Source organism: Homo sapiens, chromosome Y (assembly GCF_000001405.40).
Source record: "Homo sapiens chromosome Y, GRCh38.p14 Primary Assembly".
NCBI classification, from domain to species: Eukaryota; Metazoa; Chordata; class Mammalia; order Primates; family Hominidae; genus Homo; species Homo sapiens.
In genome coordinates, this window is record NC_000024.10 from 11,537,990 (window position 1) to 11,552,172 (window position 14,183).

The following is a 14,183-nucleotide window of genomic DNA, read 5'->3' on the forward strand; positions in this document are numbered from 1 at the left end:
ATAGAATGAAATGAAATAGCCTAGAATGGAATGAAATGGAATGGAATGGAATGGAACGGAATGGAATGGAATGGAATGGCATAGAATGGAATGGCATGGCATGTAATGGAATGGAATGGAATGAAATGGATTGGAAGGGGATGGGCTCAAAGAAATAGACTCAAATAAAAGGGACTCAAATAGAATGAAGTGGAAAGAAACGGTCTCCAATGTAATTTATTCGAATAGAATGATATTGAATGGAATGCAATAGTATGGAATGCTATCGAATAGTATGGAATAGAATGGAATGGAATGGAACGGAATGTAGTGCAATTGAACAGACTCAAATGCAATAAATTGCAATATAATTGATTCAAATGGAATGGAATCGAATAGAATGTAAACAAATGGAATGGAAGGCAATGCAATGGAAAGGAATCGAATGAAATGGAATAAATGGAATGGAATGGAATGGAAAGGACGCGAATATATTGGACTGTTAAGGAAAGGTGTCGAATCGAATTTATTCCAATAGAATGGAATCGAATGGATTGCAATACTATTGAATCGAATCGAATGGAATGGAATTGAATGGAATGGACAGGAATGGAATGAACTGGAAATGACTGGACAAGAACGTAATATATTGCAATGTAATTTATTCAAATGGAATGGAATGCAATCGAATGGAATTGACTCGATTGGAATGGACTGGAGTGGAATGGATTTAAATGGAATGGAAAGGAATGTAATGTAAAGGAAGTGAAAGCAAAGGAATCTACTGGAATAGAATCGAACGGAACAGAAAGGAATGGAAAGGAATGGAGTGGAATGGACTCGAATGGAATGTATTCGAATGTAATGGACCTGAAAGGAATGGAATCCAATGGAATGGAATTGAATGGAATCAAAAGGAATAGAAAGGAATAGAGTGTAATTGAACGATATCGAATGGAAGGGAATGGAATGAACTCGAATGGAATGCACTGGAATGGAATGGACTCGATCAGAACGGACTGTAGAGGAATGTACACAAATGGAATGGAAACGAATGGAATGCAATGAAATGGAATGGAATGAAATGGAATTGAAAGGAACGGAACCAAATGGAATGGAATGGAATGGAATGGATTGGAATAGAATGGATTCAAATAAAATAGAATCAATGGGAATGGTATTGAATGGAAGGGACTTGAATGGAATGGAAAGCAATGGAAGATATTGGAATCGAATGGCATCGAATGAAATGGAGTGGAACGGAATGGAACGGAACCGAATGGAGTGGAATGGACTCAAATGTAATGGACTCGAATGGAATCGACTGAAATATAATAGTCTCGAAAGGAATGGCCTCGAGCGGAATTTATTTGAATAGAATGGAATCAAATGGAATACAATAGTATTGAATGGAATCGAATGGAATGGAATCGAATGGAATGTAATCAAATGGAATGGAACGGAATTCAATATAATGGAGTAGAATGGAATGCATTGGAAAGGAGCAGAGTGGAATCGAGTGGAATGGAATCAAAGGGAACGAAATCGAATTGAATGGAGTTGTATGGAATTGACTCGAAAGGAATTGACGCGAAAGGAATTGAATCGAAAGGAATGGATTGGAACAAAAAGGAATCAAATGGACAGGAATGGGATGGAATGGACACGAATGGAATGGAGTCAAATGCAAACGTATCAAATGGAAAGGATTCAAATGGAATGCAATTGAATGGAATAGAAAGGAAGAGAATGGAATTGAGAGTAATGGAAAGATATCGATTGGAATGAAATGGAATGGAAAGGAATTGAATGGAAAGGAATGGAGTGGAAAGAAATGGATTGGAATGGAATGGTCTCCAATGGAATGGACTGGAGTGGAATGGAATCGAATGGAATGAAAAGAATGGACCGGAATGGTACGGAAAGGAATAGAATGTTATGGAATCCGATTGGACAGAATGGAATGGAATGGAGTTTCATGAAATGGAGTCGAATAGAGTGGCATTAAAAGGAATGGAATGGAATGGAGAGGACTCAAAAGGAATGGACTCGAAAGGAATGGAGTCGAACTAAATTGAATCAAATGGATTGGAGTCGAACAGAATGGAATGGAATGGAATGAACTCGACTGGAGTAGAGAGGAATGTAAAGGAATAGAATGGAATGTAATCAAATGGATTGCAAGTGAATGGAATCAAAAATAATAGAAAGGAATGAAGTGTAACGGGATGATATTGACTGTAATGGAATGGAATGGAATTTAATGGAATGGAGACGAAGGAATGGACAGGAATGTAATGGACTCCAATGGAATGGAATGGATCAAAGTGGATTTGAACAGATTGGAATCGAACGGAATGGAATGCAATGGAATGGAATGGACTCGAATGGAGAAGAGAGAAAAGGAATGGAAACGAATTCAATGGAATTGAAAAGAATAGGATGGAATGGCGTGTAATGGTAAGATACTAAATGGAATGGAATTGAATGGAATGGAATGGACCCAAATGTAATGCACTCGAAAGGAATATACTCAAATAGAATGGAATCGAAAGGAAAGGTCTCAAATGGAATTTATTCAATACAATGGAATCGAATGGAATGCAATAGAATGGAATGGAATCGAATGTAATGGAATGAAATAGAATGGACCAGAATGGAATGGACTGCCATAGAACGGACTGCAGTGTAATGGATTGAATTCTAATTCATTCAAATGGAATGGAATTGAATGGAATGGAATCCATTGGAATGGATAGGATTGTACTGGAATGGAATAGCATGGAATGCAACGGAGTGGAATGGAGTTGAATGAAGTGGAATGGAATCGATTGGAATGGAATCAAATGGAATGGACGGGAATGGAATGGACTGGAAGAGAACAGACTCAAATATAATGGATTGCAAAGTAATTGATTCAAATGGAATGGAATCGAATGGAATGTAATAAAATTGAAGGGATTTGAGTTCAATACAATGGAATAAAATGGAATGCAAAGGAAAGGAAAGGTACGGAGTGAAATCGAGTGTAATGGAATCGAATGGAATGAAATCGAATGGAATGGACTCAAAAGAAATGGACGAGGGACAAAACGGAATCGAACTGATTGGAATCGAACGGAACGGAATGGAATGGAATGGTCTCCATTGGATCTGAGTAGAACGGACTGGAATGGAATGGAATGAAATGGAATGGAAAGGAATAGAATGGAATGGAATGGAATGGAATGGAATGGAAGGTAATGGAAAGATATCGAACGGATTGGAAAGGAATGGAATGGACCCTAATGGAATGGAATGGAATTCAACAGAAACGAATGGAATGGACTGGAGTGAAATGGAGTCGAATGTAATTGACTGGAGTGGAATGGACTCGAAAGGAATGGACTCGAATAGAATGGACTGGAATGGATTGTACTCGAATGGAGTTGAAAGGAATAAAATGGATTCCACCAGATTGGAATGGAACAGAATGTAATGGAATGGAATGGAATGCAATGGAATAGCTCCAATGGAATGGAGTCGAATGCAATGGAACAGAAAGGAAAGGAATTGAATGGAATTGAAAGTAATAGAACAAAATGGAGTGCAAAGGAAAGATATTGAATGGAATGGATCGAAAAGAAATCGAATGGAATGGTCAGGAATGGAATGGAATAGAATGGAATAGACTGGCGTGCAATGAAAACGAATGGAATGGAAACGAATGGAATGCAATGGAAAGGAATGGAGTAGAATAAATACTATGGAATGGAATGGAGGCGAAAGGAAAAGAATGGATTGGAATGTCACCGAATGGAAAGATATGCAATGGAAAGGAATGGATACGAATGTAATGGAATAGAAAGGAATGGAAAGGTAAAGAATGGAATGGAATCGGATAGAATGGAATGCAATGTAATGGAGTCGAATGGAAAATAATCGTGTAGAATGATATCGAATGGAATGGAATTGAATGGAATGGAATGGAATGGAATGAACTGGAAGTGAATGGACAAGAACGTATTATATTTCAATGTAATTTATTCAAATGGAATGGAATGCAATCGAATGGAATGGACTCTATTGGAATGGACTGGAGTGGAATGGACTCAAATGGAATGGAATGGAATGGAATGGAATGGAATGGAAAGCAAAGGAATCTACTGGAATAGAATCGAACGGAACAGAAAGGAATGGAATGGAATGGAGTGGAATGGACTCAAATGGAATGTATTCGAATGTAGTGGACCTGAAAGGAATGGAATCCAATGGAATGGAATTGAATGGAATCAAAAGGAATAGAAAGGAATAGAGTGTAATTGAATGATATCGAATGGAAGGGAATAGAATGAACTCGAATGGAATGCACTGGAATGGAATGGACTCGATCAGAACGGACTGGAGAGGAATGTACACAAATGGAATGGAAATGAATGGAATGGAATGAAATGGAATTCAATGAAATGGAATTGAAAGGAACGAAATCAAATGGAATGGAATGGAATGGAATGGATTGCAATAGAATGGATTCAAATAAAATAGAATCGATGGGAATGGTATTGAATGAAAGGGATTTGAATGGAATGGAAAGCAATGGAAGATATTGGAATCGAATGGCATCGAATGAAATGGAACGGAACGGAATGGAACGGAACCGAATGGAATGGAATGGACTCAAATGTAATGGACTCCAATGGAATCGACTGAAATATAATAGTGTCGAAAGGAATGGCCTCGAGCGGAATTTATTTGAATAGAATGGAATCAAATGCAACACAATACCATTGAATTGAATCGTATGGAATGGAATCGAATGGAATGTAATCAAATGGAATGGAACGGAATTCAATATAATGGAGTAGAATGGAATGCATTGGAAAGGAGCAGAGTGGAATCGAGTGGAATGGAATCGAGTGGAATGGAATCAATGGGAACAAAATCGAAATGAATGGACTTGAATGGAATTGACTCAAAAGGAATTGACTCGAAAGGAATGGACTAGAACAAAAAGGAATCAAATGGACAGGAATGGGATGGAATGGACACGAATGGAATGGAGTCAAATGCAAACGCATCGAATAGAATGTATTCAAATGGAATGCAATTGAATGGAATAGAAAGGAAGAGAATGGAATTGAGAGTAATGGAAAGATATCGAATGGAATGAAATGGAATGGAAAGGAATTGAATGGAAAGGAATGGAGTGGAAAGAAATGGATTGGAATGGAATGGTCTCCAATGGAATGGACTGGAGTGGAATGGAATCGAATGGAATGAAAAGAATGGACCGGAATGGTACGGAAAGGAATAGAATGTTATGGAATCCGATTGGACAGAATGGAATGGAATGGAGTTTCATGAAATGGAGTCGAATAGAGTGGCATCAAAAGGAATGGAATGGAATGGAGTGGACTCAAAAGGAATGGACTCGAAAGGAATGGAGTCGAACTAAATTGAATCAAATGGATTGGAGTCGAACAGAATGGAATGGAATGGAATGAACTCGACTGGAGTAGAGAGGAATGTAAAGGAATAGAATGGAATGTAATCAAATGGATTGCAAGTGAATGGAATCAAAAATAATCGAAAGGAATGGAGTGTAACGGGATGATGTTGACTATAATGGAATGGAATGGAATTTAATGGAATGGAGTCGAAGGAATGGACAGGAATGTAATGGACTCCAATGGAATGGAATGGATCAAAATGGATTTGAACAGATTGGAATCGAACGGAATGGAATGCAATGGAATGGAATGGACTCGAATGGAGAAGAGATAAATGGAATGGAAACGAATTCAATGGAATTGTAAAGAATAGGATGGAATGGCGTGTAATGGTAAGATACTAAATGGAATGGAATTGAATGGAATGGAATGGACCCAAATGAAATGCACTCGAAAGGAATATACTCAAGTAGAATGGAATCGAAAGGAAAGGTCTCAAATGGAATTTATTCAATACAATGGAATCGAATGGAATGCAATAGAATGGAATGGAATCGAATGTAATGGAATCAAATAGAATGGACCAGAATGGAATGGACTGCCATAGAACGGACTGCAGTGTAATGGATTGAATTCTAATTCATTCAAATGGAATGGAATTGAATGGAATGGAATCCAATGGAATGGATAGGATTGTACTGGAATGGAATAGCATGGAATGCAACGGAGTGGAATGGAGTTGAATGAAGTGGAATGGAATCGATCGGAATGGAATCAAATGGAATGGACGGGAATGGAATGGACTGGAAGAGAACAGACTTGAATTTAATGGATTGTAATGTAATTGATTCAAATGGAATGGAATCGAATGGAATGTAATAAAATTGAAGGGATTTGAGTTCAATACAATGGAATAAAATGGAATGCAAAGGAAAGGAAAGGTACGGAGTGAAATCGAGTGTAATGGAATCGAATGGAAAGAATTCGAATGGAATGGAATCAAAAGAAATGGACGAGGGACAAAACGGAATCGAACTGATTGGAATCGAATGGAACGGAAGGGAATGGAATGGTCTCCATTGGATCGGAGTAGAACGGCCTGGAATGGAATGGAATGAAATGGAATGGAAAGGAATAGAATGGAATGGAATGGAATGGAATGGAATGGAATGGAAAGATATCGAACGGATTGGAAAGGAATGGAATGGACCCTAATGGAATGGAATGGAATTCAACAGAAACGAATGGAATGGACTGGAGTGAAATGGAGTCGAATGTAATTGACTGGAGTGGAATGGACTCGAAAGGAATGGACTCGAATAGAATGGACTGGAATGGATTGTACTCGAATGGAGTTGAAAGGAATAAAATGGATTCCACCAGATTGGAATGGAACAGAATGTAATGGAATGGAATGGAATGGAATGCAATGGAATAGCTCCAATGGAATGGAGTCGAATGCAATGGAACAGAAAGGAAAGGAATTGAATGGAATTGAAAGTAATAGAACAAAATGGAGTGCAAAGGAAAGATATTGAATGGAATGGATCGAAAAGAAATCGAATGGAATGGACAGGAATGGAATGGAATAGAATGGAATAGACTGGCGTGCAATGAAAACGAATGGAATGGAAACGAATGGAATGCAATGGAAAGGAATGGAGTAGAATAAATACTATGGAATGGAATGGAGGCGAAAGGAAAAGAATGGATTGGAATGTCACCGAATGGAAAGACATGCAATGGAAAGGAATGGATACGAATGTAATGGAATAGAAAGGAATGGAAAGGTAAAGAATGGAATGGAATCGGATAGAATGGAATGCAATGTAATGGAGTCGAATGGAAAATAATCGTGTAGAATGATATCGAATGGAATGGAATTGAATGGAATGGAATGGAATGGAATGAACTGGAAGTGAATGGACAAGAACGTATTATATTTCAATGTAATTTATTCAAATGGAATGGAATGCAATCGAATGGAATGGACTCTATTGGAATGGACTGGAGTGGAATGGACTCAAATGGAATGGAATGGAATGGAATGGAATGGAATGGAAAGCAAAGGAATCTACTGGAATAGAATCGAACGGAACAGAAAGGAATGGAATGGAATGGAGTGGAATGGACTCAAATGGAATGTATTCGAATGTAGTGGACCTGAAAGGAATGGAATCCAATGGAATGGAATTGAATGGAATCAAAAGGAATAGAAAGGAATAGAGTGTAATTGAATGATATCGAATGGAAGGGAATAGAATGAACTCGAATGGAATGCACTGGAATGGAATGGACTCGATCAGAACGGACTGGAGAGGAATGTACACAAATGGAATGGAAACGAATGGAATGGAATGAAATGGAATTCAATGAAATGGAATTGAAAGGAACGAAATCAAATGGAATGGAATGGAATGGAATGGATTGCAATAGAATGGATTCAAATAAAATAGAATCGATGGGAATGGTATTGAATGAAAGGGATTTGAATGGAATGGAAAGCAATGGAAGATATTGGAATCGAATGGCATCGAATGAAATGGAATGGAACGGAATGGAACGGAACCGAATGGAATGGAATGGACTCAAATGTAATGGACTCCAATGGAATCGACTGAAATATAATAGTGTCGAAAGGAATGGCCTCGAGCGGAATTTATTTGAATAGAATGGAATCAAATGCAACACAATACCATTGAATTGAATCGTATGGAATGGAATCGAATGGAATGTAATCAAATGGAATGGAACGGAATTCAATATAATGGAGTAGAATGGAATGCATTGGAAAGGAGCAGAGTGGAATCGAGTGGAATGGAATCGAGTGGAATGGAATCAATGGGAACAAAATCGAAATGAATGGACTTGAATGGAATTGACTCAAAAGGAATTGACTCGAAAGGAATGGACTAGAACAAAAAGGAATCAAATGGACAGGAATGGGATGGAATGGACACGAATGGAATGGAGTCAAATGCAAACGCATCGAATAGAATGTATTCAAATGGAATGCAATTGAATGGAATAGAAAGGAAGAGAATGGAATTGAGAGTAATGGAAAGATATCGAATGGAATGAAATGGAATGGAAAGGAATTGAATGGAAAGGAATGGAGTGGAAAGAAATGGATTGGAATGGAATGGTCTCCAATGGAATGGACTGGAGTGGAATGGAATCGAATGGAATGAAAAGAATGGACCGGAATGGTACGGAAAGGAATAGAATGTTATGGAATCCGATTGGACAGAATGGAATGGAATGGAGTTTCATGAAATGGAGTCGAATAGAGTGGCATCAAAAGGAATGGAATGGAATGGAGTGGACTCAAAAGGAATGGACTCGAAAGGAATGGAGTCCAACCAAATTGAATCAAATGGATTGGAGTCGAACAGAATGGAATGGAATGGAATGAACTCGACTGGAGTAGAGAGGAATGTAAAGGAATAGAATGGAATGTAATCAAATGGATTGCAAGTGAATGGAATCAAAAATAATCGAAAGGAATGGAGTGTAACGGGATGATATTGACTATAATGGAATGGAATGGAATTTAATGGAATGGAGTCGAAGGAATGGACAGGAATGTAATGGACTCCAATGGAATGGAATGGATCAAAATGGATTTGAACAGATTGGAATCGAACGGAATGGAATGCAATGGAATGGAATGGACTCGAATGGAGAAGAGATAAATGGAATGGAAACGAATTCAATGGAATTGTAAAGAATAGGATGGAATGGCGTGTAATGGTAAGATACTAAATGGAATGGAATTGAATGGAATGGAATGGACCCAAATGAAATGCACTCGAAAGGAATATACTCAAGTAGAATGGAATCGAAAGGAAAGGTCTCAAATGGAATTTATTCAATACAATGGAATCGAATGGAATGCAATAGAATGGAATGGAATCGAATGTAATGGAATCAAATAGAATGGACCAGAATGGAATGGACTGCCATAGAACGGACTGCAGTGTAATGGATTGAATTCTAATTCATTCAAATGGAATGGAATTGAATGGAATGGAATCCAATGGAATGGATAGGATTGTACTGGAATGGAATAGCATGGAATGCAACGGAGTGGAATGGAGTTGAATGAAGTGGAATGGAATCGATCGGAATGGAATCAAATGGAATGGACGGGAATGGAATGGACTGGAAGAGAACAGACTTGAATTTAATGGATTGTAATGTAATTGATTCAAATGGAATGGAATCGAATGGAATGTAATAAAATTGAAGGGATTTGAGTTCAATACAATGGAATAAAATGGAATGCAAAGGAAAGGAAAGGTACGGAGTGAAATCGAGTGTAATGGAATCGAATGGAAAGAATTCGAATGGAATGGAATCAAAAGAAATGGACGAGGGACAAAACGGAATCGAACTGATTGGAATCGAATGGAACGGAATGGAATGGAATGGTCTTCATTGGATCGGAGTAGAACGGCCTGCAATGGAATGGAATGAAATGGAATGGAAAGGAATAGAATGGAATGGAATGGAATGGAATGGAATGGAATGGAATGGAAAGATATCGAACGGATTGGAAAGGAATGGAATGGACCCTAATGGAATGGAATGGAATTCAACAGAAACGAATGGAATGGACTGGAGTGAAATGGAGTCGAATGTAATTGACTGGAGTGGAATGGACTCGAAAGGAATGGACTCGAATAGAATGGACTGGAATGGATTGTACTCGAATGGAGTGAAAGGGATAAAATGGATTCCACCAGATTGGAATGGAACAGAATGTAATGGAATGGAATGGAATGGAATGCAATGGAATAGCTCCAATGGAATGGAGTCGAATGCAATGGAACAGAAAGGAAAGGAATTGAATGGAATTGAAAGTAATAGAACAAAATGGAGTGCAAAGGAAAGATATTGAATGGAATGGATAGAAAAGAAATCGAATGGAATGGACAGGAATGGAATGGAATAGAATGGAATAGACTGGCGTGCAATGAAAACGAATGGAATGGAAACGAATGGAATGCAATGGAAAGGAATGGAGTAGAATAAATACTATGGAATGGAATGGAGGCGAAAGGAAAAGAATGGATTGGAATGTCACCGAATGGAAAGATATGGAATGGAAAGTAATGGATACGAATGGAAGGGAATAGAAAGGAACGGAAAGGTAAAGAATGGAATGGAATCGGATACAATGGAATGCAATGTAATGGAGTCGAATGGAAAATAATCGTGTAGAATGATATCGAATGGAATGGAATGGAATGGAATGAAATGGAATGGAATGGAATGAAATGGAATGGAATGGAATGGAACGGAATGGAATGGACTAGAATGGAATGTACTCAAATGGATTAGAATAGAATGGAATGGAACTAAACGTAATGAACTCGAATGGAATGGACACAAATAGAATGGAAGAGAAAGGAATGGTATTGAATGGAATTTATTCGAATAGAGTGGAATTCAATGGAATGCAACAGTGTGGCATGGAATCAAATGGAATGGAATCGAATGGAATGGACCCGAGTGGAATGGACTCACATAGAACAGCCTCGATTGTAATGGATGACAATGTATTAGATTCGAAAGGACTGAAATCGAATGGAATGTAATCAAGTAGAACGGAATTGAATGCATGGAATGGCATAGAAAGTAACGCAATGGAATGGAATAGACTGGAATGGAATGGAATCGGATGGAATGTAATGAAATGTAATGGAAGGAATGCCATGGAATGGAATGGAATGGAATGCAATGGGACGGTGTATAATGGAGTGCAATGGATTTCAGTGGAATGTAGTCAAAAGGAAAGAAATAGAATGGAATTCAATATAATGGAATGGCATCCAATGGCAAGGAATGGAGCGGACTCCAATGGAAACGAAATGAAAGGAATATAATATAATGGAATGGCATTGAACGAAATGGAATGCAATGGAGTTAAAAGGTAAAATATCGAATGGAAAAGAATTGAATGGACGCGAAAGGAATATAATGGAATGGAATGGACTCGAATGGAATGTACTAGAGTTGAATGGAATCGAATGGAATGGAAAACAATGGAAAGGAAAGGAAGGGAATTGAAAGGAAAGGAATAGAATGGAATGGAATCGGATGGAACGGAATTGAATTGTATGGAAACTAAAGGAATAGAATAGATAGGAATCGTATTGAATGGAATGGAATGGAATGGAATCAGATGGAACAGAAAGGAATGGAATAGAATAGAATGGAACGGCATCGAATGGATGAAATGGCATGTAATGGAATGGAATAGAAAGGAATGGAATGGACTCGAATGGAATGTACTCAAATGGAATAGAATAGAATGGAATGGAAGTAAATATAATGGACTCGAATGGAATGCATTGGAATAAATTGGAATTGAGTGTATTGGATTCGAATGGAAAGGAATGGAATGGAATGGAATGGAATGGAATGGAATGGAATGGAATGGAATCGAATGGAATGGAACGAATTGGAATGTAATTGAATGGAGTCAAAAACAGTAGAAAGAAATAAAGTTTCATCGAATGATATCGAATGGAATTGAATGGAATGTACGCGAATGGAATGGACTGGAATGGAATGGAGTGACATGTAACGGAATCGAAAGGAATGGAATCCAATGAAATGGAATTGAATGGAATAGAAATGAATAGAATGGAATGGAGATTAATGGAAAGATATTAAAATAATGGAATGGAATTGAGTGGACACGAATGGAATGGACTGGAATGAAAGGACTCGAATGAAATGGAGCGCATTAGAATGGACTCGAATGGAATGGATTGGAGTGGAATGGTCTCGAATGGATTGGAAAGGAATAGAATGGAATGTAATCCAATGGAACGAAATGGAATGGAATGGATTCGACTGGAGCAGAGTTGAATGGAGTGGAATTGAATGGAATGGAATGCAATCGAATGGAATGGACACGAATTGAATAGAATGAAATGAAATGGCATAGAATGGAATGGAATGGAATGGAATGGAATGGAATGGAATGGAATGGAATGGTATGGCGTGGAATGGAATGGCATGGCATGGTATGGAATGGAATGGAATGGAATGAAATGGATTGGAATGGGATGGGCCCAAAAGTAATAGACTCAAATAAAAGGGACTCAAATAGAATGAAGTGGAAAGAAATGGTCTCGAATGTAATTTATTCGAATAGAATGATATTGAATGGAATGCAATAGTATGGAATGGTATCGAATAGAATGGAATAGAATGGAATGGAATGGAACGGAATGGAGTGCAATTGAACGGACTCAAATGCAATAAATTGCAATATAATTGATTCAAATGTAATGGAATCGGATAGAATGTAAACAAATGGAATGGAAGGCAATGCAATGGAAAGGAATCGAATGAAATGGAATAAATGGAATGGAATGGAATGGAAAGGATTCGAATATATAGGACTGTTAACGAAAGTTGTCGAATCGAATTTATTCCAATAGAATGGAATCGAATGGAATGCAATACTATTGAATCGAATCGAATGGAATGGAATTGAATGGAATGGACAGGAATGGAATGAACTGGAAGTGAATGGACAGGAACGTAATATATTGCTATGTAATTTATTCAAATGGAATGGAATGCAATCGAATGGAATGGACTCGAATGGAATGGACTGGAATGGAATGGACTCAAATGGAATGGAAAGGAATGTAATGGAATGGAATGGAAAGCAAAGGAATCTACTGGAATAGAATCGAACGGAACAGAAAGGAATGGAATGGAATGGAGTGGAATGGACTCGAATGGAATGTATTCGAATGTAATGGACCTGAAAGGAATGGAATCCAATGGAATGAAACTGAATGGAATCAAAAGGAATAGAAAGGAATAGAGTGTAATTGAATGATATCGAAAGGAAGGGAATGGAATGAACTCGAATGGAATGCACTGGAATGGAATGGACTCGATCAAAACGGACTGGAGAGGAATGTACACAAATGGAATGGAAACGAATGGAATGGAATGAAATGGAATGGAATGAAATGGAATTGAAAGGAAGGGAATCAAATGGAATGGAATGGAATGGATTGGAATAGAATGGATTCAAATAAAATAGAATCGATGGTAATGGTATTGAATGAAAGGGACTTGAATGGAATGGAAAGCAATGGAAGATATTGGAATCGAATGGCATCAAATGAAATGGAATGGAACGGAATGGAACGGAACCGAATGGAATGGAATGGACTCAAATGTAATGGACTCCAATGGAATCGACTGAAATATAATAGTGTCGAAAGGAATGGCCTCGAGCGGAATTTATTTGAATAGAATGGAATCAAATGGAATACAATACCATTGAATGGAATCGAATGGAATGGAATCGAATGGAATGGAATCAAATGGAATGGAACGGAATTCAATATAATGGAGTAGCATGGAATGCATTGGAAAGGAGCAGAGTGGAATCGATTGGAATGGAATCGAGTGGAATGGAATCAATGGGAACAAAATCGAATTGAATGGACTTGAATGGAATTGACTCGAAAGGAATTGACTCGAAAGGAATGGACTGGAACAAAAAGGAATCAAATGGACAGGAATGGTATGGAATGGACACGAATGGAATGGAGTCAAATGCAAACGCATCGAATTGCATGGATTCAAATGGAATGCAATTGAATGGAATAGAAAGGAAGAGAATGGAATTGAGAGTAATGGAAAGATATCGATTGGAATGAAATGGATTGGAAAGGAATTGAACGAAAAGGAATGGAGTGGAAAGAAATGGATTGGAATGGAATGTTCTCT

The 14,183-nt window shown here is 37.9% G+C and overlaps 2 annotated features.

The window, feature by feature from the left end:
- Positions 11,528-12,058: an enhancer, noted in NCBI's record as "OCT4-NANOG hESC enhancer chrY:13705193-13705723 (GRCh37/hg19 assembly coordinates)". NCBI's record gives its function as "activates a minimal SCP1, AML or CMV promoter by ChIP-STARR-seq in primed H9 embryonic stem cells {active_cell/tissue: H9 hESC(primed)}" and the evidence as "EXISTENCE:reporter gene assay evidence [ECO:0000049][PMID:30033119]".
- Positions 12,059-12,588: an enhancer, noted in NCBI's record as "OCT4-NANOG hESC enhancer chrY:13705724-13706253 (GRCh37/hg19 assembly coordinates)". NCBI's record gives its function as "activates a minimal SCP1, AML or CMV promoter by ChIP-STARR-seq in primed H9 embryonic stem cells {active_cell/tissue: H9 hESC(primed)}" and the evidence as "EXISTENCE:reporter gene assay evidence [ECO:0000049][PMID:30033119]".